The sequence below is a fragment of the Homo sapiens genome, chromosome 10, assembly GCF_000001405.40.
Source record: "Homo sapiens chromosome 10, GRCh38.p14 Primary Assembly".
Classification (NCBI taxonomy): Eukaryota; Metazoa; Chordata; class Mammalia; order Primates; family Hominidae; genus Homo; species Homo sapiens.
The window spans coordinates 7,592,213-7,619,362 of NC_000010.11; the positions used below are offsets into that span (position 1 = coordinate 7,592,213).

The 27,150-nt window shown below is 44.2% G+C and overlaps 1 protein-coding gene across 5 annotated transcripts in view; it reads right to left on the minus strand.

Moving 5' to 3' along the window:
* ITIH5 (inter-alpha-trypsin inhibitor heavy chain 5) overlaps positions 1–27,150 on the minus strand; it is a 107,697-nt gene that overhangs the window by 32,943 nt on the left and 47,604 nt on the right. For 3 of the 5 annotated variants that reach the window (NM_030569.7, NM_032817.6, NM_001001851.3), the window contains 2 exons: positions 24,901–25,070; positions 23,770–23,886 (listed from right to left, as the gene is read on the minus strand). In NM_030569.7, coding sequence (NP_085046.5) covers positions 23,770–23,886; positions 24,901–25,070 — 287 coding nt within the window. Of the gene's footprint in view, positions 1–17,207; positions 17,283–23,769; positions 23,887–24,900; positions 25,071–27,150 lie in introns of all 5 variants that reach the window. The other 2 variants (XM_011519713.4, XM_011519714.4) reach the window with 1 other exon arrangement.

The window sequence follows — 27,150 nt, forward strand, 5'->3', positions numbered from 1 at the left end:
TACCCAGCAGTGCCTGGCACATAGGAGATGCTTGACAAATGTGTTCTGAATAAGTGAGCAGTGAATAAATGATCCACCTGTCACACTGGACAGGGAGTTCCTCAAAACAGCCATCCCCTTGCCCTGCCCCACCCTCCCAACATCATGGCATTTTGTACATTGTAGGCTTTTAGTAAATATCTGCTGTATTATTAAACAAATAAGACAGCGACAGAGAAGAACAGAGATAGAGGAGACAGAGACAGACAGACAGAATACTCAGAGAGGGACAGAGAGAAAGAGAGAAACAGAAAGAGTAGGGGAAAGAGGAAAATAGAGGGGAGGAGAAAGAGACAGAGAGGTTCTGTTGGTGAATTCAAGGGACATGAGACACAGCCCAGCCCTTGAGAACCTAAGACAGACACTACTGAGAAAGAGGATGTGCAGGAAGCTCCAAGCTGCCTGATAGACAAGCTGCAGTGATGATCAATAACTCGGAGAACTGCACTCCACAGGCAGGGGCGGCCTCAGCCAGGGTGCTGGGCCCTTCTCACCCTGGTTCATCCTGGGCTCAGCACAGCCTGTGTGAGCATCAGACAGACCCTGCGCACTCACAGTCCAGGTGTCCCCACCCAGGAAGGACTGAAGGTGCCGGCTGGGATGGGAGGGACAGCAGCATGCAGTGGCGGTGGTGGGGCAGTGCTGGGGTGCTGGGCCCAGTTCTCAGGCCCTCCTGAGAGTCTCCATGCTGCACACTGCTGGGCCCAGAGTGGTCAGGCTGCATGGGGGCCTGCCAGGAAGGCCACCCATGGCAGAGCTGCTGCTTTAGCTGCTGGCATCCTTGGGGATCCTTCACAGTGTGCCAAGAACCTCCAGAGGGACCCGCCTAGCTCTTAAGCTGGCATTTTTTTTTCCCCACAGGACGGATATTCTGCTTTAGGAAGAGCTATTCAATCTCTCTACCCTCCTTCCCTCAGCTCAGCAGCTACAGGCTCCTTATGACCTTGTAAGGCCTCAGCTGCAACTTGTCCTTGCGTGCACCAGGGAAGGCAGCCCAGGCACCTCCCGGTGGCTCCATTCCCACTCAGAGGAGAACCATGTGGATGGACTCCTGCCCTCATTCCAGAGGGGGCAGGCACTGACTCCTACAGACTGCAGCCACCCAGCCCCACTCACCCCTGCAGACTGCAGCCACCCAGCCCCACTCACCCCTGCAGCCTGCAGCCACCCAGCCCCACTCACCCCTGCAGACTGCAGCCACCCAGCCCCACTCACCCCTGCAGCCTGCAGCCACCCAGCCCCACTCACCCCTGTAGACTGCAGCCACCCAGCCCCACTCACCCCTGCAGCCTGCAGCCACCCAGCCCCACTCACCCCTGCAGCCTGCAGCCACCCAGCCCCACTCACCCCTGCAGCCTGCAGCCACCCAGCCCCACTCACCCCTGCAGCCTGCAGCCACCCAGCCCCACTCACCCCTGCAGCCTGCAGCCACCCAGCCCCACTCATCCCTGCAGCCTGCAGCCACCCAGCCCCACTCACCCCTGCAGACTGCAGCCACCCAGCCCCACTCATCCCTACAGACTGCAGCCACCTCCTCCACTAACTCCTGCAGACTGCAGCCACCCAACCTCATTCACCCCTGCAGACTGCAGCCACCTGGCCCCACCAATCCTTGCAGACTGCAGCCACTGGCTCTGTTAACCCTTGACTTGCCTTCCCACCTCCAATGGGCTGAGCAGCCAAGAGCTCTGCCTCCTGTGGGAGGCTTAAGAGGAAAGAGGAGGAGCGTCCACACAGAAGGGTTCATGTGAGGGGCTGGAGCTGATCTTTCTGCACATCGTGTTCAGATGCTGAAGACGAACTGAAATGCAGTCAGACTCTGCCAGGAGCACAGTCCAGAGAACAGGGTAAGCACATTCCAGACAGATCAGAGGATGCCCAGAGAGGCAGAAGTTGTGTCCTCTGAGCCTGTCCAGAGGAAAAGGGAACATCACTTCAGGGACTGGACAAGATCCCCGTTCAGAGTCCCTCCCAATCCTGAGGCTGCATGATCATGGCTAGGAAGAGCTGTAGACTCTTCCAGTGCAGGTGATGGACACAGCTGGTCACCACTTACCCTCAATGCTCTTTCCAACTAACTAGGCCTGAAGGAAGAGACACTGGGCACCCCAGGAAGCCACGCTCGTGTCCTCTAAGCTCCCTCTAGGGGCCTTCCATGCTAGAAAGAGGCCAGCCTGCTTGAGACAGGTACCCCCAAAACATACATGTTGGAGTCATGAAGTTAATTCCTTAAAAGATGACCACAGGGGGCTGTGGAAATGTCTTCCCTGGAGATCTTCTAAAACAGGCATATAAAATGTATGATCATATGTATCGCAGTTTTCATGGAGATGAATACAATCAGGGTACAGGCCTGATTCGCGAGGGGATTAAGTGTCTGATTTTAGAAGGCCACTCTTGCTCTTTGGGGCCATAAGAAGAGTTTTCAACTCATTGTCTTTATACTCTTGGACAAGGACAAGGGCTTATTTGGGGTGGAAACCAAGGGGATGGGGTTAGGGTCACTGCCTGACAACTCCTGGCTGGGAAGCCAGTGGGGAGGAATTAGCAAGTCTTGGGGAGAGTGGCGGATCAGGAAGAGGCAGGAACACCAAGCCCCTGTGCCTAGGGGATAAACATAAGGGGCACCTGTGGGCCTCACTGAGGAGGAAAACAGGGTTCTTACAGAGGTCAACCCACAAGAGGCCCTTCGGGTTTCCCCTGGGGGGTCCGTGCCAGTTCCTAAAAGCACAATCCATAGTGAATGGGCGTCATCTCTGCTAACACAAGAGGACAAGCTGCAGACATGGGTCCACATGTCATCAGAAGAGATCTTTTAAAAATTCCAGGCTAGGAGCAATGGCTGTGGTCCCAGCTATTCAGGAGGCTGAGGCAGGAGGATCACTGGAGCCCAGGAGTTTGAGGCTGCAGTGAGCTAGGATCATGCCACTACACTTCAGCCTGGGCAACGGAGCGAGACCCTAGCTCTAAAATGTAAATAAAAAAATAATAAAATTAAAATTGAAAAAATAAAAAATACCAGATTATGTTTGGACTGAAGGGAGATTTTGAAAATCGCGCCCAGATAGATACACTTAGTAAACGGAAAGAATATATTTCTTACTATTCGGGTAGCGAAGACATACCTTGGCCTGGATGCAGGCATTACACAAGATTCCTTCTAACCCTAGTTATCTAGAGTCACAAAGGATAGAGATTACTCTGTTTAATACTATTTTATGGTGATGAATTCCTCTTCTTACTAGAGTCACAAAGGATAGAGATTACTCTGTTTAATACTATTTTATGGTGATGAATTCCTCTTCTTATACGTACTTCACTTGGGTTAAAAGAACAAAAGCCTATTTGCTTTAAAAACACTATCTTAGAAGTCCATTCCAGCTCCATCTTAGATTTACTATTAAGTAAGTCCTTTAATTTCTTTCTATTTAAATTCTTCCAGGCACAAGGCAGGACATAAATATAAGTAAACTCTGGCCGGGTGTGGTGGCTCACGCCTGTAATCACAGCACTTTAGGAAGCCGAGGCGGGCGGATCATGAGGTCAGGAGATTGAGGCTATCCGGGCTAACATGGTGAAACCCCATCTCTACTAATAATACAAAAAATTAGCCAGGCATTGTGGCACGTGCCTGTAGTCCCAGCTACTCGGGAGGCTGAAGCAGGAGAATCGCTTGAACCCATGAGGCACAGGTTGCAGTGAGCCGAGATCACGCCACTGCATTCCAGCCTGGGCAACAGAGCGAGACTCCGTCTAAATTAATAAATAAATAAATAAACAAATAAATGTAAACTCTATTTCAGATTCTCCATCCCTTCAGTACAGCTGGCAATGGTCTTGCTTGTTCTAGCGGATCTTTGGGGAGGAATATTACAGAGTCTCTTTAATGGTGTCTGTCCTGCACACCACAGGCCCTGCATGAAGCTGCACTGGAAACAAGAGATAGGGTCTTCCTTTCTCTTCCGCTCCCTCTTTCCTATAAAGCTGAGCCCAAGGAGCTTCAGGCTTTTGGCACAGCCCTCAAAGGGGAAGCATTCCATTGCGTTAACTACCATGCCATGAATGACCAGTAAACATTTCCCAAGTAGAATCGCGTCTAATAAGACCCTCAGAGGGGAAGTCAAGGGAGCCCACGGAAGAGCCAGCTGCGGCCCACGGCTTCCTCCCACTTCCATCGGGTACCCACAATGCAGCTTTTCTCAAACCATATTTGATGGGAACTAACCCTGACACAAAAGGCTCTTGTGCCACAAACCCTAGGTTTTTGAGCATAAGACAAGGAGAACCCATGACATCACAGATGAATCCAAGTTCAAGGGAACTCAGCATTAGCCATTCCACGCCTCCTGCACAATGATCACGCTGTTCTCCTGAGTGGCACCATCACTTGCCTCAGTCTAAAATGTTCACCAGGGAGTTGACATTTTCCTTCCCATTGATCCACACAGTTCTTTTGAATGAGCCTAAGGGAAAGACCTAAGATGAACAATTTAAAATAATCCAGTAAAGGCCGGGTGCAGTGGCTCATGCCTGTAATCTTTGGGATTACACTTTGGGAGGTCGAGGAAGGACGATCACCTGAGGTCAGGAGTTTGAGACCAGCCTGGCCAACGTGGCAAAACCCCGTCTCTACTAAAAATACAAAATTAGCCAGGCATGACGGTGCATGCCTGTAATCCCAGCTACTCGGGAGGTGAGGCGGGAGAATTGCATGAAACCAGGAGGTGGAGGTTGCAGTGAGCAGAGACCATGCCACTGCACTCCAGCCTGGGTGCAGAGTGAGTCTCCAACTCAAAAAAAAAAAAAAAAAAAATTCCACCAAAGAAATCAAAGACCTTCTAAAAGCCTGATTTGAGCCATGGAAGAGAATCATGATCAGCAAATGAAAACAGCCCTAAGTTTCTGAAAGGTAATTTTGGAAAATGAAATATGCCCAAGACAAGCTGTAGTGACAAGTCAGCCTTTGTCCTTTCTAAGGTGGGCAGAGGCCATGGACACCAGTGGGGAGGGGGCAGGTGTCTGTACTGTCCTTGGGCCTTCCTGACCCAGCAGGCAGGAGGTCCTCAGTGCCCCTTGGTGGGTGGTAGTATGGCCCCGTCATCACGCCATCTGAAGGAACCAACCAAAATTAAAAACTATCTGTGACTTCAAAGTTCACAACAACAGATTCTTACTGCAACCTGAAACTTCTTGCCTAAGCCCACAGTGAGGAGAATGGAAATGTCTGCCTTCCCAGCCTCAGATCTGTTGTCCCCTCTGTACCCCATAGACACCCATACACAGCATGGTCCCAAGTCACCTTGGAGTCACCCCCTCTGTACCCCAGAGACACCCGTACACAGCATGGTCCCAAGTCACCTTGGAGTCACCCCCTCTGTACCCCAGAGACACCCGTACACAGCATGGTCCCAAGTCACCTTGGAGTCACGGTCATGGCTGAGACCAGAGTAGCCATGACTTGCCAAGGGATGTCCCCAGGCTCTGGGTGTCCACTAAGCCTCAGTGGGGGTATTCCAAGTCCATAGTATTACAAGATTACAAAAACTTATTCTATAAAAGGTAATATAAACTTATGTTACATTCTGCAGGTCATTCAGTAATTTGAAGGAAGCTTTTCTGAAATCTTACTGTGACTGACCCACCAAATAATCAGATTTTTTTTTTTTAATCCCCAGTCTTAGGAGTAAGGCAATAAATTGAGTAAGAAGAACCAGTTCGCCATAATGTATTTGGGTCCATATCATTGTTGTACTTCTAAAAAATCTAGCAACAGATTGGCTCCCAAGAAGAAATCAAAACATTACAAAAGAATGCTACTCCATTGACTATAGTGTAAGAGTGTAAGTAACACTTCAGGGGGTTATGAAAATGCCTAAAGGAAATCAATGATCGTGCAATGCCAAGTTCCTTTTGTTGCCCCTCTGCTACAAATACCTCCTGAAATGAACCACATTATATAATTCATATTAAAAATAAAAATGTTTAATTGTAACATACAGAAGATAACCAAAAAAGGTGTCTCTGTCAACAAGGGAAATCTTGTTGCAAGAAACTAGAACGATTTTTCTACTGGCCAAAATATTTTTTGGAGAAATGGCAGAAACTAATTAGCTTTCTTCATAAAATGGAAAATTTGGGATAGAAGTCATATGTCTTCAAATATTTTAAAACAGTTTAATGAAATTTCACTTAGAAGTAAATGTAGAAAACATTTTTCTTTGTTCTCAACATTTTTTCATTCACATTGCCAAGAAAAGCGTATTTCTTCAATGAAGCAAAATCACAGGGCTCCTATATTTTAAAATATATTATTTTAATCTACTACACTTTCATTTACTGCTTAAAGTCTCCTTTCAAATGCTCTTTGAATGCAGTATTGTGCTATATAATATCGCAACTCTGATTCAAAATACTTATTTGCATATATGTTTACCCCATCTATGTAAAAATATAAACAAATTATTTCTTCATAGCAAGACAAAAAACACTTTTATTGTAAAGTTTCTAAATACCAATACCACTTCAAGACTGGTCCTAAAATAGAAAGATTGCTAAAGATTAAATTCTGGCTAAAGTCAGCCTTAACTTTTTTTAAAAAGGCTGAATAGGTTTAGATATTAAAACATTTTTTGCAATATAAACAAAACTAATTCCATTAATCTTTGTGTTTGCATAACATTACTCTAACTTGAGAAGCGAACTGTCTCATCTTAACCCTCTGCTTATGTTAAGATTAGTTATCTAATGTTTTGACTTTGCTTTGACAAGTGTATCAAACATTTACCTAATCATGTCATTGTACGTTTTTCTGAAAAGCTCTTTGCCAATAATATTTCTGCTATTCTTTACGACATAGTAGGCAAATCCATTTTTTATAGTTGATGTGTAAATAACTCAGGGCTAGAAATAGATTTTTTTTCCCACTTCTCTTCATGTGGAAGGTCAGTACTTCAGAGGATTTACATTCATTGTCAATTCCATACTTCTCATTCTAGCCAAGAACACAGCCTTAGTACATAGGCTTGACAGCCTTAACAAGAACCCAACCTACCTCTAACTCTTGGCTCCAGGTGAACCCCAGGCATGGCTGCTTGCTCTAATAGGAAGTAAGAGGATGATGCTGACCAAGAGAGGTTCAGCTCTGTGTGTAACTGGTGTCTCCCATCCGCTGTTCTGACACGCTAACTGATAAAATGATTGAGTTCTTGGTTTCTCACTCCTGGTCTAAATCTGAAGTTTATATTGTCCTACTGCAGGTCTGGATTCTAGATCCCCGCATGTTTCATTGTACAGGTGTTTTGGTGTCGGACTCTCCATCTGCCTTTGACCTGATCGCCTTTCCCTCTCCCTTAAGTTCTCACGATTCCTCTCTCCCTGGCTTTGGTCCATCCTACACCTCTCATTATAAATTCCCAGAGATGTGTCTTCACAAACATCGAGAACATGAAACACAAAGATATGGACAGGCTGGGAAAAAGCCATGCTCCACGTAAAATCATGGAACAATTATTTAAGAAGTAAACACAGCATATCCACAAATGTAGATTGTATATACAAGAAAATATGTAGAGGAAGTGGAGGCCCCTCCACCAGGCAGGGAGAGTGACACTGTTCCTGGGTCTCTTTCCATCTTCCCAGACTCTTAGTTAAGGTCGCCAATGAGACTGGAGACGGAGATTTCTGTTGCAAGAGGGAAGAAATTATAAAAACGGGTGAACTTAACTGTTGGGGATTGAGAGGTGCTCTGGTTACTTTTTCTTATCTTCCTTATTTGTGCTAGATTGGATGTGGATAGCTACAGAGTCCAGAGCAGAGAAGGCAGTAGAGGCTTCTTAGATCTATGGGGAAGGAGGGTTAAGTAGAAACCTCACATCTCTTCCTACTCTGTCTGCCTCAATTACCTGGGGAAGAAAAGCAAAATGGCCTCAGAACTAAGTTCTAGCCAGTCATAAAGGGGGTAGGTTGGCTGAAGTTTCAGATGTGCTCCATATCTCAGAAATCTGAGCCAGTGGACAGGATGTTAGGGGGAGAATAATTCCAATGCTATGCCTTAATCTGACCTCTGAAACCCCATTTTCCCACCTGGTCCCCTGAAACATGCTTCTGTCTTCTTCTAGGTATTTTCCTTCAGTCTAGCACATTCTCAAAGTGACCACAACTGTCTCCTGAACATCTCTGAGCACTAGGTCCCTTCAGCCCACTGCTGCCATCAACCCAGCCCTGCCCAGCCCACCAGAAATGAGCCCGGTCTCTCCTCCTGGATATTTGTCTTGTTACCTTGGCCTTTGCCTTCCCTTTCCAGTTACACGTGCACCTAGAAGAGATGATTGGGAAATCACTAATTATCTGACTTTACATTTGGTTAATCAGAACATCCTTCTTCAAGCTAAGAATTTGGCAAAGCCTAGGGGTACACAAGGGACAGTTTGGGTCCCCCTAAATTCAAAGGTTGAAATCCTAACACCCAAGGTGATGGTCCCAGGAGATGGGGACTTTAGGAGGTAATTAGGTCATGAAATTAGAGCCCTCATGGTTGGGATCAGTGCCCTTATGAAAGACCCCAGTGAGCTAGCTAGCTACTCCCTTCCACCATGGGAGGACATGCGGAGAACTTGCATCTATGACCCAGAAGGTGGGCCCTCCCCAGACACAGAGTCTGTTGGCATCTTGATGTTGGACTTTCCAACCTCTAGAACTGTGAGAAATAGATTTCGTTGTTTATAAGCTACTCAGTCTATGGCACATATATGAGTCCATAGTGGCCTGAATGGACTAAGACACAGACTATGGCACCACTAAATATAACATTTTTTGCTACCAGTGGGGAAAGAGCTCTTAATTGTTATTAATTTTAATTTGGCTCCCCTCTCCCCACAAATTTTACTTATCCATCTTTCTTGAAACATCAGCAACTGATGTCATTTGGCAAACTGTAGAAATGTGCATCATGACCACATCTAAGCAAAAGTGGGAGATTTCAGAGAATCAAAGGAACAGTGTCTAAAACAGTGACTGTGAGAACTTCCTCTTCTTTACCCCAATTCAGAGAGAGGGCCAGCCCAGGGGGGTTCTTGGAGGTCAAGAATGCCAAATGCCAAGTGTTCATATCTGGGGAGGGTGACTGCTTTGTCCTCACAGAAGCAAATCTTCCAGAGCCAAATTCAAGGAGAGTTTGCCAGGCCATTGCTAAATCATAAACACTACTGCACTGAGGATTAGCTGAGGCTTTGCTTTGCCAGGCTGTCTCTCTCTCAATGACACAAGTCTGCTCCGTAGGAACTCTGAACACTCTCAGCAGCATCGACCTCCCTCCTGGTATCCAGTAGCCAGCATCAAGCAGCTCATATCGCCAACCTCTGCATGACCTGCTTCTGGGGGTCCTTCCAGGTGGCCCCAGGAATGCATGTGAACACCCTGTGATGGGGAACGCCACCACACAGGGCCGACGGCCATCCCTGAGCAGCAGCTTTTCTCAGAACAAGGGCTACCCTTAGAGTACTAAATCCCCTCACCAGAATTTCTCTTCATTGATTGTAGAATTGTTGATCACATGCATATCACCCACTTTTCCTCCTACCAAATCTGATACACTCTAAGGCTCAGTTTTTGTTTTGTTTTTGAGATGCAGTCTCCCTCTGTCGCCCAGGCTGGAGTGCAGTGGCTCAATCTCAGCTCACTGCAACCTCTACCTCCCACGTTCAAGCGATTCCCATGCCTCATCCTCCTGAGCAGCTGGGACTACAGGTACGTGCCACCACGCAGGGCTAATTTTTTACGTTTTTAGTAGAGACAGGGTTTCACCATGTTGGCCAGGCTGGTCTTGAACTCCTGACCTCAGGTGATCCGCCTGCCTCAGCCTCCCAAAGTGCTGGGATTACAGGTGTGAGCCACCATGCCTGGCCTAAGGCTCAGTTTTTGGCCTTTCATCCTCCCTCTCTCTCTCCTCTTCCCTGAAGGAGTTTTATCCATTCTTCAACTACCACATCTGTTTTGGGGTCTCCCAAGTCCATACCTCCAGGCTCTCCATCTGAATACCTTCACCACCTCACTGCCATTTCAGTCTTAATCTGCTGAAAACTCAATACATAATATTTGGTATGGTTTGCCTGTGTCCCCACCCGAATCTCACCTTGAATTTTAATCCCCATAATCCCTACGTGTCAAGGGCAGGAGCAGGTGGAGGTAACTAAATCATGGAGGCGGTTTCCCCCAGGCTGTTCTCATGATAATGAGTGAGTCTCACAAGATCTGACGGTTTTTTAAGCATCTGGCATTTCCCCTGCTTGCACTCACTCTGTCCTGCTGCCCTGTGAAGAAGGTTCCTGCTTCTCCTTTGCCTTCTGCCATGATAGTAAGTTTCCTGAGGCCTCCCAAGACATGCGGAACTGAGAGTCCATTAAATCTCTTTCCTTCATAAATTACTCAGTCTCGGGTATTTCTTCATAGCAGTGTGAGAACAAACTCATATAATATTTCTCTCTCAAATCAGCTTCTCCTCTAGGGTTTCCTACTTCCACTCATGGTTCCAAAGTCTCAAGAATCTTTTTTTTTACTCTATCCAGCTAATTACTAAGCCACACTACTTCTTCTTTAATAACAGCTCCATCGTTCTTCCTTCTTCCACATTCATAGTCACCACTCTGGCTCAAGTTCCTTCTTGTGGGGCACATGCTCTCATTCCATGCAGGCTCCCCGTGTCTCATAGCTTCCGTGTCCTATTTGTCTTACCAACAGCTGTGGCCCACAAATTACATTCCTACAGCACTTCCAGCTGCATGGCTCCTTCCATCAGCCACTGAAGAAATCCTACACCTGAGCATCACGTAAACAACTAAATCCCACCTCTGAGTGTAGCTGCAGCTGAGGCACACAAATCTGTGCAAGCTCAAACTCACCTCACGCTCTCAGAATCTCTGCTAAAAAACGCGTGGTATATCCATCTAATGAAATACTATTCAGCAATAAAAAAGAATGAAGTGCAGATGCACACTACGACATGGCTGAACCTGGGAGGTATCATGCTACCTGAAAGCAGCCAGGCACAAAAGGCCGCACACTGTGTAACTCCATTTATACGAAATGTCTGGAATAGGCAAATCCAGAGACAGGAAGCCGACTAGTAGTAGTCAAGGGCTAGAAAAAGGGGTGAACAAGCAATGACTGCTAATCAGTGTGGGGGTTCTTTGGGGGATGATGAGATGTCCTAAAATTAGATAGTGGTGATGGTTTCACAACTCTCTGAAAATACTAAAAGCCACTGAATGGTATGCTTTAAAAGGGTGGATGTTATGGGCTGTGAATTCTATCTCAACAACGCTGATACGGTTTTGTTTTTTGTTTGCTTGTTTTTCAGATGGAGTCTCGCTCTGTCGTCCAGGCTGGAGTGCAGTGGCGCGATCTTGGCTCACTGCAAGCTCCGCCTCCCGGGTTCACACCATTCTCCTGCCTCAGCCTCCCGAGCAGCTGGGACTACAGGCCCCACCACCACGCCCAGCTAATTTTTTTGTATTTTTAGTAGAGACGAGGTTTCACTGTGTTAGCCAGGATGGTCCCGATCTCCTGACCTTGTGATCCGCCCTCCTCGGCCTCCCAAAGTGCTGGGATTACAGGCATGAGCCACCACGCCCGGCCTGATATGGGTATTTTTGAAGTGTGTGGCATGACTGTCCCTTGGTCTGCGTGGACTGCCTCCTTGTGTGTTTTGTGCTGTTGTGTCGTGAGCGTCTTCTCAGAGGGGCTTTATCCGGGGGAATCCCCTGCAGCATAAGTTGGTGCCACGGCCCTGCAGGAGCTTCCCAGGCACCTCCAGGTTCTCCCTGGTCCAGAAGCCCTTGATGGGTAGATTATCAGAGTTCCTTGATTCCATGGTAGTGTACATTCAATCACCTGCTCACATGCTTCCAGGCTATTTGATTTGGGTCCCATGGTTATAAGGGAAGTCTTCCCTTGCCCCCCAACCTCCAAAGCCAAACAGAGTTGGGCAACCTTCTATGTTGTCTTCCTGCATCAGTGGGTGGAGGTTTCCTCTGCCTACTCTCCCCTAAGGGTGCAGTCCTTTGATGGAGCCAGCTTCATCAGGGGTCTCAGGTTCAACCCCCCACCTCAGAGCGCCCAAGCTCTCATCTGCTGTTCCCACAGGGTCATGAAAGCCTCAGGCCCGAGGACCCAGCGAGTGGTAACTCTCCTGGGGGATATCACTTAACTCACACGCTCCGCGTTTTCCTTCTCCGTCCTCTTTTCATTCTGAGACTCTTAGATTGTGTCTTCCTTACCAGCAAGATGTGTTTCGATTCATCTCCTTTTCTAAATGTTTGTATCAGGAAGGTTTTCAAGTTATCTGGTCCAAAACATGACCCAAACCTTCACACTATAGCATATTCAGCCTTCTTTCATGCCTCGTGGTTTTCCCCAACCAAGAATTCACTCATTCTTTTCCTGCCAAGAAAATTGTATCCCATCTTCAAGAACCAGTTCCTTTTCCATCTCCATCATTAATCTTTCCCTATCTCAAGTTATTTCTCTCCCCTACAATCCTTTCCACTATCTATGTTAGTTTTGAATAATGTAAGATTGTTTCATTTTTTCTTCTTTTTTGAATGGAGTCTGTGTCGCCAGGCTGGAGTGCAGTGGTGTGATCATGGCTCACTGCAACCTCTGCCTCCCGGGTTCAAGCGATTCTCCTGCCTCAGCCTCCTGAGTAGCTGGGATGATAGGTGCCCACCACCACACCCAGCCAATTTTTGTATTTTTAGTAGAAACGAGATTTCACCATGTTGCCCAGGCTGGTCTCGAACTCCTGACCTCAGATGATCTGCCCCTCTTGGCCTCCCAAAGTGCTGGGATTACAAGCATGAGCCACTGGGCTTTGTCTATTCTGTTTCTTTTCCCCAGCAAAATTCTAAAGTTCTCGGTGAAAGTGACTTAGGGCTGATGCCTTTAGAGACACGCTTTCTCCTGCCTCCACGCTTTGCACATGTCACGCATCTCTCTCATTCTGCTTGGATCCAATCCCCCTCTTCTCATGCCACCCACTCGATTAACTTCTAAGAGGCCTTTGAGACTCACCCAACTACGCCCTCCTCTGAGAATCATTCATCATCCCCTACTCTCCCACTACTAAAAAGAACTGATTACCACCCCATCACGCAACTACTGGCCCTTACATATGCCCTATTACACAGAGCACTCCCTATATAATTTTTGCCTGACTTTCTCTTCTTCTCTGAGCTTCTTGTGAGGAAAGGCTGTGTCTCATTTATCTCTGTGTCCCCCATACCTAGCACCCCACCCCCAACAGCCTATAACCCATAATTGTTTCATGTTTGGAGAATCTGAAGTCTAGAGTTAAAGTCAAAGTGGGAAGCTGAGTGACAGTCAGGTGTCCCGAACCCAAGAAGTGGGGGGCTGTGCTATCAGGCAATGCCAGCGCTTAGGAATTTTACCCAGTTGCAATTTCAATCAGCCAGCCAAGACTACACAATCCCTGAGTAACAAAGCATTCTGACACTGATAAGCACTTCTCATTTAATTCTCTTTGACTTGTAGTGTTTATCTTGCTGTTACTTGTAGCAAAGTTTCGTTTCAGCCCCTATCTAGCCCTTTACAGAAAAAGTCTGCCAATTCCAATTTGGGACTTAAGTGAAAAACTGGGAAACCAGAAAGGAGGAAACTAGGCTTTTCTGTGATTTCCTGGCGCCACACTTTCCGATGCTCACAGCAAGGCTGCAATCTGAGCAGGTGATGCCGGAGCACCCCAAACTCTATACTGACAAGTGTCTCTTTGTATGACAGCCACAGAGTGCCCACATTCAGAGATACTACACATTTCAATAACATGACCTCATTTTATAACAGATGCGGGCAACGTTGCAGAGAAAAGGGAATGCTTATACACTGCCGGTAGGAATGTAAACTACTTCAGTCACTGTGGACAGCAGTCTGGCGATTTCTCAAAGAACTGGAAACGGAGCTCCTACTCAATCCAGCCAGCCCATTATTGGGTATATACCCAAAGGAATAGAAATCATTCTACCATAAAGACACACATATGCATATGTTTATGGCAGCACTGTTCTCAAGACCAAAGACATGGAATCAACCTAAATGACCATCAGTGGTGGACTCGATAAAGAAAACGTGGTACAAATATACCATGGAATACTATGCAGCTATAAAAAAGTATAAGATCATGTCCTTTGGAGCAACATGGATGGATCTGGGAGCCATTATCCTAAGCAAATTAACCCAGGAACTGAAAAACAAATACTGTATACCCTCACTTATAAGTGGGAGCTAAACATTGAGTACACATGGACACGAAGAAGTGAACAGACACTGGGGCCTCTTGAGGGTGAGGGTCAAAAAACTACTTCTCAGGTACTGTGCTTATTAGCTGGGTGATGAAATAATCTGTACACCAAACCCCCTCAACACACAATTTATCCATATAACAAACCTGTATATGTGCCTCTTAAACCTAAAATAAAAGTTTAAAGGAAAAATAAATAAAATAGGACCTCATTTTACCTCTAAGATATACTTCATCCGGGTAAATCTTAACTACCTCAACAACAGCAATAAATTTTTCAATGGGTGCCTCTAATTTATTTTAAATTATCTGTATTATCATTGTTGGAGAGCAATTTTTTTTCTTGAAACTAAAAATTCAAGCTTTCACTCATGGCCTAGGGAAAAAATATTTTGCCCTCTGTCCATCATTTATTACCTCATATTCTGAGTCAGAGACAAAAACCAGTTTTCCCCACTGTCTTCTGCTTCCTGCCTCAAGTCTCAAATCTCTGTTTTGCAATGTTTTCCTGAAACATGCATCTGCTGGTAGCAACGTCTTGACAAGGGCAGCCCAGTAGACGAGAATAAACACAATCAACTGGCATGTAACTCAAGGTCATTTTGATGAGTCCTTGCTCTAGACAGGTGTCAGCAAACTGTGGCTCAGGGGCCCTGCTGCTGCCTGCTTTTAGTAAATAAGCTTTTACTGGAACACAATCACACCCATTTCTTTGCATATGGCCTGTGGCTGTGCTCTTGTCACAAGGAGGACAGATCTTGCATCCAACAGCAGAGTTGAGTGGTTACAACAGAAACCATCTGGGGGCCGGGCGTGGTGGCTCATTCCTGTAATCCCAACACTTTGGAAGCCAAGGTGGGAGGATCGCTTGAGTCCAGGAGTTCAAAACTAGCATAGGTAACATAGTGAGACCCTGTCTCTACAGAAAGAAAGAGGAGGGGAGAGGGGAGAAACTTGGAAAAATGAATCTTCAGCCTGGCGCTGTGGTTCATGCCTGTAATCCCAGCACTCTGGGAGGCTGAGGCAGGTGGATCACCTGAGGTCAGGAGTTCGAGATCAGCCTGGCCAACATAGTGAAACCCCATCTCTACTAAAAATACAAAATTAGCCAGGTGTGGCGGCGCATGCCTGTAATCCCAGCCTACTCGGAAGGCTGAGGCAGGAGAATTGCTTGAACCCAGGAGGCGGAGGTTGCAGTGAGCTGAGATAGCGCCATTGCACTCCGGCCTGTGCAACAAGAGCGAAGCTCAGTCTCGAAAGAAGAAAAAAAAAATCTTGTCTGCAAAACTTAAGATGTTTATCATCTGCCCCTTTACAAACAAGTTTGATGACACTGGCTCCAGAAAGCCAAAAAGGGAAGCTAGACTCTTCTGATATTTCCTTCTGATATTTCCTGGGGCCTTGCTTTCAGGTGCTTAAACAAGGCCTAGACCTGAACAGGCAAAGCAGGTGGACCCGACGCTCTCTGTTGTCGATTTTTATTTGCATGATAGCCACATAGCGCTTGCCTTCTGAGACCCCTTCCCCCAGTCTTTCAGGCATGCACTCACTGGGCAAGCTTGCATCCTCCTGCTTTCTGAGCGCCTTCATTTGTTCAGGGATTTCTCTCCCCTAACCAGATGGCAAGCCCTCAGAGGCCCTCTGGGTCCCGCAGCTCATGCTGAGCTTTCCTCCAGGCTGCTCGGTGAATCTGACTGCCTTCTTTGATCTCCGTCGTTTAATTTTTGTTTGTTTGTTTGTGACAAGGTCTGGCTCTGTTGCCCAGGCTGGAGTGCAATGGCGCCATCATAGCTCACTGCAGTCTCGACCTCCTGGGCTCAAGCCATCCTCCTACCTCAGCCTCCTAAGTAGCTGGGACTACAGATGTGGGCCATCATGCCTGGCTAATTTTGTTTATCTTTTTGGTACAGATGAGGTCTCACTATGCTGCCCAGCCTCGTCTCGAACTCCTGGGCTCAAGCCATCCTCCCACCTCGGCCTCTCAAAGTGCTGGGATTACAGGCATGAGCCACCATACCTGGCCTGGATCCTCTCTTTTGAAATGTGGCAGACCCACATAGTCTGAAGAAGGCAGCTACAATATCACACTGTTGGACATCACTGGACTTGACAGTCACCCAGCTTGCCCGAGCCACTTTGCCTCAGTCTACATTTCTGCCATCTGCACGCACACTCGGATGTCACTTGCCCGATCCACATCATGAAAGGGAAAGAAGTTTGCCTCCCCATACACGCCCAAGGAGTGCTTAGTGTTAAATAATAAAACGTTGCTCAATAATTCTACGAATCAAAGCAGAACAGCTTCGTGAGTTTTTCACAATACTAGCCTGCTGGCTGGCACCTCTTTGAGTAGGTGACATCTGTGTGCACTCACCTGAGTGCACTGTCCTTCACGTTACTTGGTGACAAAAACAGAGCCTCAAAGCTTGAAAAGTGGTCTACAGACCACCACTGTGTTACGGTCCATATGTGACGTTACAGAGAAGTGGTTTAGGTAAGGCTGACCTGGGCTTGAATCCTAACTTTCCTACTTATAACTTTGTGTATTTCAGCATAATTACATCATTTTCCTGGTCTCCACCTTCCCATGCATAAAATAGGGAGAGCAATGTTTACTTCACTGGATGGCTGAAAGATTAAATGAAGAAATGTACGTAAAACCCTCACAGCACTTGATACGCACTGATCACTCAATGGTAACTACTGTGCCTCAGAAAAATGCAGGATACATTTATTGTTTGTGGGCTGGTAGTTTGGCAGCAAATGTCATTACCCACTGTCTGTGAAGAGTTGGGAATGCATATTGTAATGATCAAACACAAGATGTTCCCCAAGTCCATGGAGCTTACAAATTACTCACCTGTAAGGTTACACATGAAATATCCAAATAGCCCTTGGGAACCCAATTTTGGACAGCGAGGGAGAAACCAATGTCCTAGAGCATAAAGTAAGCCTGTGAGTGAACCAAAATCGACATGCAGATCCCAGTCCTCCTACTCGTTAATTCACGTTTGCCCTCATTTTAACTTGACTAATTCACGTTTGCCCTCATTTTAACTTGACAATTACAGATAAGAAACATGCTTGTTCTTTACCCTCTAAATTTGTCAACTAAATAAAATGGAGAAAGGAAGACAAGCTTCAAAGGCTACGTGGGAACCCAGAATTGGCACAGAGGGACACAGAGTGTGGGAACAGGTTTGAAGACCATTAAAGCATGGAAAACATCTGGTAAGTGATCCATTCGTCACTGCTTGGTTGCCAAAGAGGGTCCCTTAGCCAAGTTCTTTAATATGAATGTGAAAGTAGTAGATCTAATTCTATAGATCAGGGAAAGGAAAGACAAGAAAGTGGACACCATGGTCAAGGAAAAGCATATTCTTAATCCTCCCAAGGACTACATGTCTGTCTGCAAATGTCAATGCTTTAAGCATGCAACTAACAACAAAAAAAAGAAGCCTTCCCTGATTACATTTTTCTCCCCCCTCCCTTTCTTTTTTTTCTTTTTTCTTTTTTTTTTTTTTTTTTGGCTCTTCTCAGCTCCCATTCTCACCAAGAAGTTTTAGCTCAAACTGGGAGGTAGAAACCCTGCCTGACCCAACACCACAGCCATCTCTCAACAAACTCATCTGCAAAAGCACACGGGAGGGAAAACAGCAAAGCCACGTGCCAGCAAACCTCAGGCAGCTCTGTTGCTGTTCCCAAGCCAGGCAGGTCCTGGCTTCCAGGATCATGTTCCCACTGGGATTAGGACAAGAACCAGAAAATGCCAGAGGCACACAGCTTTGGGGGCTCCCCAGGTGCCAATATACCCCTTACCGAGAATATTTTTTTAAGGTTGAATGGTCTTTACAGCTTTTTCTAAATCAATAGTTCAAGTAATTATTAAATGCCAACTATGTGTCCTACATTGCAATAAATGCAGCAAGGTCTTTCAGGCCCGTCAAAGACGAGGGGAGCCAAGAACATTGGGAATAACAGTGAATGATTCTTAATAGAATCCATGTGGATGCATGACAAATGTCCCACATTGCCAAGCCTGTTGACACAATATGAAAAGCCCTTTGCTTGGGATAATTGTCCTCTTCACCAATAGACATAACATCATATACAAGACTCTTCAAAGAGCCAGCTAAGCTTTTCACTTAGTACTGTGGCCTTGGAGATGCTGAGAACTGCAAAAATAGTCCGCAGATTTCAAAACCACTCAAGGCAGCGAGGGGCTTTCAAAATTGCTCAGACATGTGTTTGGCTGGTCTAGGGTGGCTCTCCTGGAAAGAGGCCATGCTGAAGCTTCGAAGCCAGCAGAGTGCATGCCAGACTTTCAGTGGCTAGCAAGGAATGGAATTTTAATATCCAGGAATGAAGGAAGAGGGGAGAATAACAAATGATCTGACATCTGTTATTACATTGCTCTTGCATCATGCGAGGAAATCCCTGCCTTCTGCAATGCAGCCTTCTCAGTTGGGTCTTCAAATGTAAGACTGCCTTGACCTTGTATCCATTTGCACTTCTGCCAGCTGCATACATGTGTGCCTTCTTGCCGCAACCACACTCTTACTTGCACGGTACATGGCTTAGTTCTCAGACTTCAGACCTGGGAGTAAAGGCTGCCACCACCATTTATTAGCCAACTTATCTACCTTTGCAAAGCCTCAGTTTCTCCATCAGTAAAATGGGGATGACAACTAAATTATTTTAAAGATTAAAGATTCTTGCATTAAATCATTCACATAATACTCTTAGCTATTTTGGAAATGGCCCATGCCATATTTTTAAGAAGTGCCCGAATTATTTTATGATTAAAGGTACATTTAGGAGACCCTAATTTAGTTCATTAGTTTTTCTCTGGATAATTTGGGGCAGGGTTTATTTTTCTGAGGGTTATTTGGCAAGAAGATTCTTGATCATTCTCCCACAGGAAGTGGAAGACAACCCTGGGGCACTGGATTGGACTAGGTTTGAGGTTAAACCCTGAAGTGCTCTGGCACCTGAGATGCATTTCTTTAATTACTAATATGCTTGATGGTTTTTTCATAATTTTATCAAATCATCTTATTTCTTTCTAGTAGCTTGTTTTATATCCTTTGCTCATTTTCTTATATAGGATTAATTTTCATTAATCTGGAACAGTTCTTTACATATTAATGATACACTTACTTCTTTTTCCTGCATGCAATTTTCTAGTGTTTTGTTTACTTTTTTTTGTTTACAACAAAAATTTAAAATTTTTATGTAGCTAAAGTTACCGATTTTCCCCTTTGTAATTACTTTTAGGCTTAAAAGTGATTATACTGCTTTTAGGCTTAGAAAGTTTCTTCCCACTTGAAAATCAGTTAAATATCCACCTGCAATTTTTTTTTTTTTTTTTACATATTTTGGGGTGTGGTTCATTGATTACCTTAAGCCTCTTAACCCATTTGGAAATCTTAGCCTAGTAACAGTTTTAAATGTTATAAATTGGCACAGACTTTTTAGAAAATGTTTTTGGAATGTGTACCAAACCCACAAATGAATTGGTACTCTTTGCCCCAGTAATTCCAATTCTAAGAATCTAATTTAAGAAAATGACAGGGCATGCGTCAGGCATTTCTACATGAAGACAGTCATCCCGATGGGGTTTATTATCACAAAAAATGGAAATGGCTGAAAAGTCTCTAATGGGTGGTAGGGTGAATAAATGTTCTGCAGCTACACGCTCCCATATGGTTACTATTAGCCATATATTAACTATGCAAATTTAAATTTATTAAAATTAAAAATTCAGTTCCTCACTTCCATTAGCCATACTTCACTTGCTCAACACCCATATGTGACTAGTGGCTATTGTATTGGACAGCACAGGTGTAGAACATTCCCATTCTCATAGAAGCTTCTAGTGAACAGTGTTGCTCTATGGCCATTAGAATCAGGTTTTTAAAGAATATTTAATGCCATAAGATATATTCATAATATGGGGGTGAATAAAAACATCAGAAGACAAACTATTCGGTAGTCACAGGAATTCAGACTGGTTGCAGTTAATTTAATCATAAATATCTTCAGCAAGTTATGTTTGTTCAGAGGAAATACAAACCCTGCCCCCACAAAAAAGCTGTGTTTTTTTTTTTTTTTTAGAAAGGAAAAGAAAGAACATCTGAAGATTCATAGGTACCTAGGAATTAAATGAGATGCCTGAGGAAACCCAGCCCATGGTACCCTCTCAGTAACTGTTAAGTGATTCAAAATCCAAATGGCAATTATCATACTGATCGTATGTAAGCCTAATTAACACGGTATTCTGTGATCCACAGTGGTCTTAAAAGAAGCCATGGTTATTCTTCTGTCAGCATCGATCATGCAGCCATCAATGTCACAAAACAACTTGGTCAACGAATGGCATTTAAGAACTTGTAGTACACAGGGCCGGGCGCGGTGGCTCATGCCTGTAATCCCAGCACTTTGGAAAGCTGAGGTGGGCAGATTACCTGAGGTTAGGAGTTCGAGACCAGCCTGGCCAACATGGTGAAATCCCACCTCTACTAAAAATACAAAAATTAGCTGGGCATGGTGGCGAGCACCTGTAATCTCAGCTACTTGGGGGAACTGAGGCAGGAGAGTTGCTTGAACCCAGGAGGCAGAGGCTGCAGTGAGCCGAGATCATGCCATTGCACTCCAGCCCAGGTGACAGAGTGAGACTTCGTCTCAAAAAAAAAAAAAAAAAAAAAAAAAGAACTTGTAGCCCATAATGCGAAGAACTTCACAAGGTATTTGGTAAATAAGGAAAGGCTATGTGGCCTCTAAAACATCAATAAATATCAGCCACTATAAGAGAAAGCTTCACTTTGGTGTAACAAAAACTTTGGGAAAAACTTTGGGAAACCTACAAGTAACTTGAGCCCTAAGGGACTCCAAAGTTTGGATTTCGCAGACACAGACAAGTACATGTTTACTGTGCTTGAGAAAATATAAAAGATTAAAAACTGTAAAAAACGGAAAATCCTAAAACATCACAGAGGAGATTTGAAAAAGAACTTAAATATTTTCTTTAGCTTCCCAGTAAGAACTAAAAAAGCTAAACAAATGGGGTTTTAAAAAAATCTTTAAAGTAGCAGAAAGCAAACAAAACAGTGAGAAAAAAAATCTGAGAGAAGATGCAAATTTTAAGAGGTGAGCTCAGCATTTGGGACCACTTGTGTCTCAAGGATGTTTGTCAAGACCGAAGAGACACCTGAGAGGCCGCACATCCCCTCTGTAGCTTAGGGGTGCTCTGGCAAATCTACACTGTGTGCAAAGCAGAAATATGCCAGCTCCTAAGAGTTCTGCAGTCCAGCTTCGTGCCATTTGGGCTGCCCAAACACCTCCATCCCTGAAAATGGACTAAAGTAATCCCAGATTTTTATTCCCCCAGAGATCTGACAGAAACAAGCCCAAACCTTCTCTAGAGGAACAGACCATTATCTTAGGCCTCAAACTATTTCTACAAACAGATTTTCAAATATTATGTTCATCATTCGATGACTGCCAGTGTAGAATACCATACCTAGTAAAAACTATCCTTAAAGGATAAAAGTAAAATAAATCATTTTCAGACAAAGACAGAGAATTATTTTTAAAAATACGCTCATGGATGATGTTCCTCATGCAAAAGAAAAGGAACCCAGATGGAAAGTCAAGAAAGCAGAAGGAAGAAAAAGTCAAAAATGGAGCAGTTGGCAGGTTGCGCTCTGGACGAGCACGTGATGTTAAAGAACCACTAAAAGCTGATTCACAGAGCAAGGTTATTTTCCCCCTACATTAGTTCGACATTATATTTGGCTATCCTCTAAAACAAGCTTGTCCAACCCCTGGCCCACAGGCCACATGCAGCTCAGGTCAGCTTTGAATGCAGCCCAACACAATTTCATAAACTTTCTTAAAACATCGTGAGATTTTTTTGCGTGATTTTTTTTTTAGCTCATTAGTATTGTTAGTGTGAGTGTATTTTATGCATGGCTCAAGACAATTCTTCTTCTACCAGTGTGGCCCAGGGAAGCCAAAAGACTGGATACCCCGGCTCTGAAAGACAATAGTTAAACCCTAGTCTCACTTCATATTTTGAAATATGTTTTTGCTCTATTGGAGTGTAGGAAAACCAGATGCCATGAAAAACCAGAAAGCCATGGAAAACCATGAAAGCCATGAAGATACAGATTTCACTGCCAGATTTTTAAAATATAAATGGCCAAAGAAGCCATTTATAAAGTAGTAGATTGAGATTGAGAAAAAATAGTTGCAACAGTTTATCAGCTAGGAGTAGGTTCAACTGCGTGTGAGGCAGGACCTGGAGGTGGACGCAGGTTGGACAGAGAGTTTCTATGAGATTTGAGATAGTATCTCACTCATTAAATCACAAATGCATTGTGAATTGTATAAAAAAATGAAAAAGGCCGGGCATGGTGGCTGATGTCTGTAATCCCAGCACTTTGGGAGGCCGAGACAGGTGGATACCTAAGGTCAGGAGTTCCAGACCAGCCTGGCCAACATGATGAAACCCTGTCTCTACTAAAAATACAAAAATTAGCCAGGTGTGGTGGAGTATGCCTGTAATCCCAGCTACTCAGGAGGCTGAGGCAGGAGAATCTCTTGAACCCAGAAGGCAGAGGTTGCATGCAGTGAGCTGAGATCACGCCATTGCACTCCAGCCTGGGCAACAAGAGCAAAACTCCATCTCAAAAAAATAAATAAAATAAAATAGATAATGAATTTTAGAAGACAAACTAACAGATTCATGTTTTTGAAGAATGTAAAGATATTAGCTGGTCTGGCAGCCAGTAGCTCTGTTTTCTATTATGTGAGTTTGAAATGTATCGTATATGAAAGATTCTGACATTTATGATAGCAGAATAAGATAAGAAAGTCTTTTCCAGTGGTTTGTAAGAAAAGCATAAATAGTCATATTTTCAGGAATCTAATTTTTCGACATAAACTACGTGACCCCTGAATGTCTCCCCACCACCCTGGAATTTTAAGATTCATCCTAAATTTTGTGACATCAGTCCTGACTTACTGTGACCTGAGTTCTTTATTCTAAGGAGGCTTCCAATGATTCTATTCCACTGTTCTCAAAGGAATCATCGCTGAACAGAATTACTCCATCAATGATAGTGCTGAGGACTGGCCCTGTCGATGGATTCCTGTCTCACTTACATTATCCACTCTGCCAGTGCTGTTTATTTCAAGGGGTTTCTACAGCACGTCCCTCTGCTCTCTTAAAACCACCACGCTGAAATACAGTTTATGTCAAATGACTTAACTGAATCCGCTCAAGAAGGCTTTCCATAGGCAGGAATCGCTGGATGGTAAAGCTGACGTTTGGCATCTACCGAACTTTATTCGCAAAGCAAGTCATTGTCCCAGGCAAAAGCGAGAGAGGAATAAATGGGCGGTTGGCACTCACTCACCTGCCGGAGTTTGGTTCCCACCATAGAAGCACTGCTGTCAAGCACGAATACCACATTCTTGGGTAAAGGAGGAAGGTCTTTAGGAGCAAAGTAGTGCACAAAATAGCCATTTAGAACCTGGTGGAGGGAAAAGAAAGTAAAAACGGTAGTACCTAGAGCGGGGAGCAAAAATACCTGAAGTGGGTAGTCTATGGAATTTCTAAAAGTTAAAGCATGACAAAGAGTTTAGGGTGAGATTCCACACCCGGAGTAAAATTATCTAAGGCCCTGATCCCTCCAAGAGAACTAATTGCTCATTTAATCTGTATAAGGGTAGACTCTTCCCTTTAAAATTGATCAGTGATGACTACCAGTTCAAGTTTAATTATCCATCCCTTGGACTTTTGCTACTTGAGAATTCTGCTTCCTTCATTATGTTTTTTTTACCAAGCATCTTACAAGTTGAGACATCAAGATTCTCTACATTCTGGATGCAATTAATAGGTTTTAATATCCCCACCCTGTCTCTGGAACAATAAGACCTAAAGGGAAATGAGCAGCCTCTTTTAATTAAAATGGAACATGGACCAAGCGCGGTGGCTCAGGCCGGTAATCCCAGTGCTTTGGGAGGCTGAGGGGGTCAGATCACCTGAGGTCAGGAGTTCGAGACCAGGCTGACCACCATGGCAAAACCCCATCTCTACTAAAAATACAAAAATTAGTGGGGCGTGGTGGTGGGTGCCTGTAATCTCAGCTACTCGGGAGGCTGAGGCAGGAGAATTGCTTGAACCTGGGAGACGAAGGTTGCAGTGAGCCGAGATCGGCCACTGCACTCCAGCCTGGGTGACAGAGTGAGATTTGGTCTCAAAAATAAAATAAAATGGAGCATGAACTAAAATTCTAATTTCATCTAAAACACCACAGGGAGCTTTATATTACAGATTTCACTTGCGCTGCAGATTACTGAAGCTGGAAATAGGTTCCCTCAGCAAAAAAATACCGCTAGTCTCTTTGAAGAAATACTTTGGATTAAAACAAATTTACTAAGAAGCAGAAAGTTCTCTCTCCCTTAGGTAAATATTGGGATCCACAGTATGAGTCTGTCCAAAGTACCAACCAACCAACATGAAATAGCAACGACGATCCTATTACCTGGATGTCCCCAATGCTCTGTTCTCTATTGACGTCATATCTAATGATAAAGTCTCCCAAAATTCCATTCTGGGCAATCCTGGCTTGTTGTACTACAGTAGGTTTAAAAATTATGTTGGCAAATGTTTCATTTTGGTTAATGACAGTAGATGGGGGAGGCCCAGAATCATCTGCAAACAAGATAGAAACATAATTAATAACTTAATATATATTTTTCCAAAAAGAAATAAAAACTGTTTGGCAGACACAGAGTTTTAGATTTCATTTTATTACAGGCTTGTATTTCACAGGAACTTCTAAGACTGTACTCATATATCACAATGCGAGAGTTATGTCATCATATAGTTTCCTCTTATGCCTCTTTTTGAACCTTTTCTTATGAACATTTTTAAAACACACAAAAGTAGAGAGAATAGTAAAATGAACCCCTGTACCCATCACCCAACTTTAACAAACATCAGCATGTTACCAACCTTTTGTATGTTTTTATCTATTCCCCATTTTTTCCTAGAGCATTTTAAAACAAATTCCAGACACCATATTTCATCCATAAATACTCCAGTATGTCTTTACCTGTAAGAACTCTTTTACTAACATAACCACAAAACCATTATCACAAGTAACAAAATTAATGCTCAATGCCCTATTATTATCTAATTCTCAGTTTGTATTTAAATTTATCTGATTCCCTAAAGAAAGGGTCTTGGTATGGTTGATTTGCTTGAATGAAGATTAGAAGAGTCCCCAATCACATTCCATTTTTATTTCTTGCTTCTTTTAATCTCCAGTGTCTGCCTCCACCTCTTTTGTGATGCTGCATATATGTGATAAATCGCTGGTCATTTGTCCTATGGGATTTCTCTTTTTCTGTATTCCTTTTTTTTTTTGAGACAGCGTCTCAATCTGTCACCCAGAGCGCAATGGTGCAATCACAGCTCACTTTTGGACTCAAGTGATTCTCTCACCTCAGCCTGCCAAGTAGCTGGGACTACAGGCACACACCAGCATACCTGGATCATTTTTTGTTGTTGTTTTTTGTAGAGACAGGGTCTTGCTATGTTGCTCAGACTGGTCTTGAACTCCTAGGCTCAAGCCATCCTCCTGCCTCGGACTCCCAAAGTTCTAGGAGTACAGGCGTGAGCCACCATGCCCGGCTTACGGCTCATTAAAAAAAAAAAAATTCTCAAAGCTTTTTCACATGAAATTTAGGATATAAATTAGAATTACAGAAAGATAAACAGATAAATGGATATTATGTAATTTATGAAAACCTAGTGTGATGACAGATTAAGCAAAGAGCATCCCATCTTTTAGTCCTGACCTTCATTTCCTGTTAGAACACAGAGAATTATTTAGCAAACTACTCACGTTTATAAACCCAAACAACACCATATCTATGTACTTAGCAATAAAACCCCAAAAGATGAGGTCTGCATGCACCCTGGAGAACATGAAAACATAAACAAGAATTCTTAATCATAAGGGCATGTGGAGGCTTTTTATCCAGATATTGAATCAAAGCCAGACTTAAAACTGCTGCAAAGCCTCTGATTATCTTTTTAAATGTACTCAAGTTGATAGCATGAAATAGGCTGACCAGCCATTTCCCATCTCCAATTAGCAGAATGAAAAAGGAAATGAGGCGTTAAGTGGCCACAGTAATTTGTATTTAAAAATAAACTTCCTTCTGCTGAGGGTTTATTAGACACACAAGTCAAAGGAAGTTTAAACATTTCCTTTAACAAAATAGGCAATTATTTTTCAGAGACAATTTAGGTGTAACCTTAACAGGAACCACAAGGTAGAACAGATTCTTCTATTATTTGCACTTATCAAGGACAGGGATTTTGGAAGTGATCAGAGAGCCAGCAAAGAGAAAAGGTTATTTTTGTAGGGAGACAGTTACATAAGAGAGAACACGAGTCCACAGATCTGCTCATCTGAAGGAGTTGGGAAAATCCAGACAGTGCATGGACAGGTGGCACAGCCCAGGTCACTACCAGCATGGTTGAAGATGCCTTAGACCCATTAGACAGGACAAAGAAACGGGTGCTGAAAAAGGAAAAGTCCTTGAAATTAAAGGAAACTGCATGCTGTCCAGGGTCAATCTCTCATTGGTGGTCATTGTTAAAGCACCCAGAGTGACAGGCATCATAATATATCAGCTAAGAACGCACGATCATGGTCAGAAACCTGCATTCAAATATTGGTTTCACTTCTTAACAGCTGTGAGACTTTGAGCAAGTTACT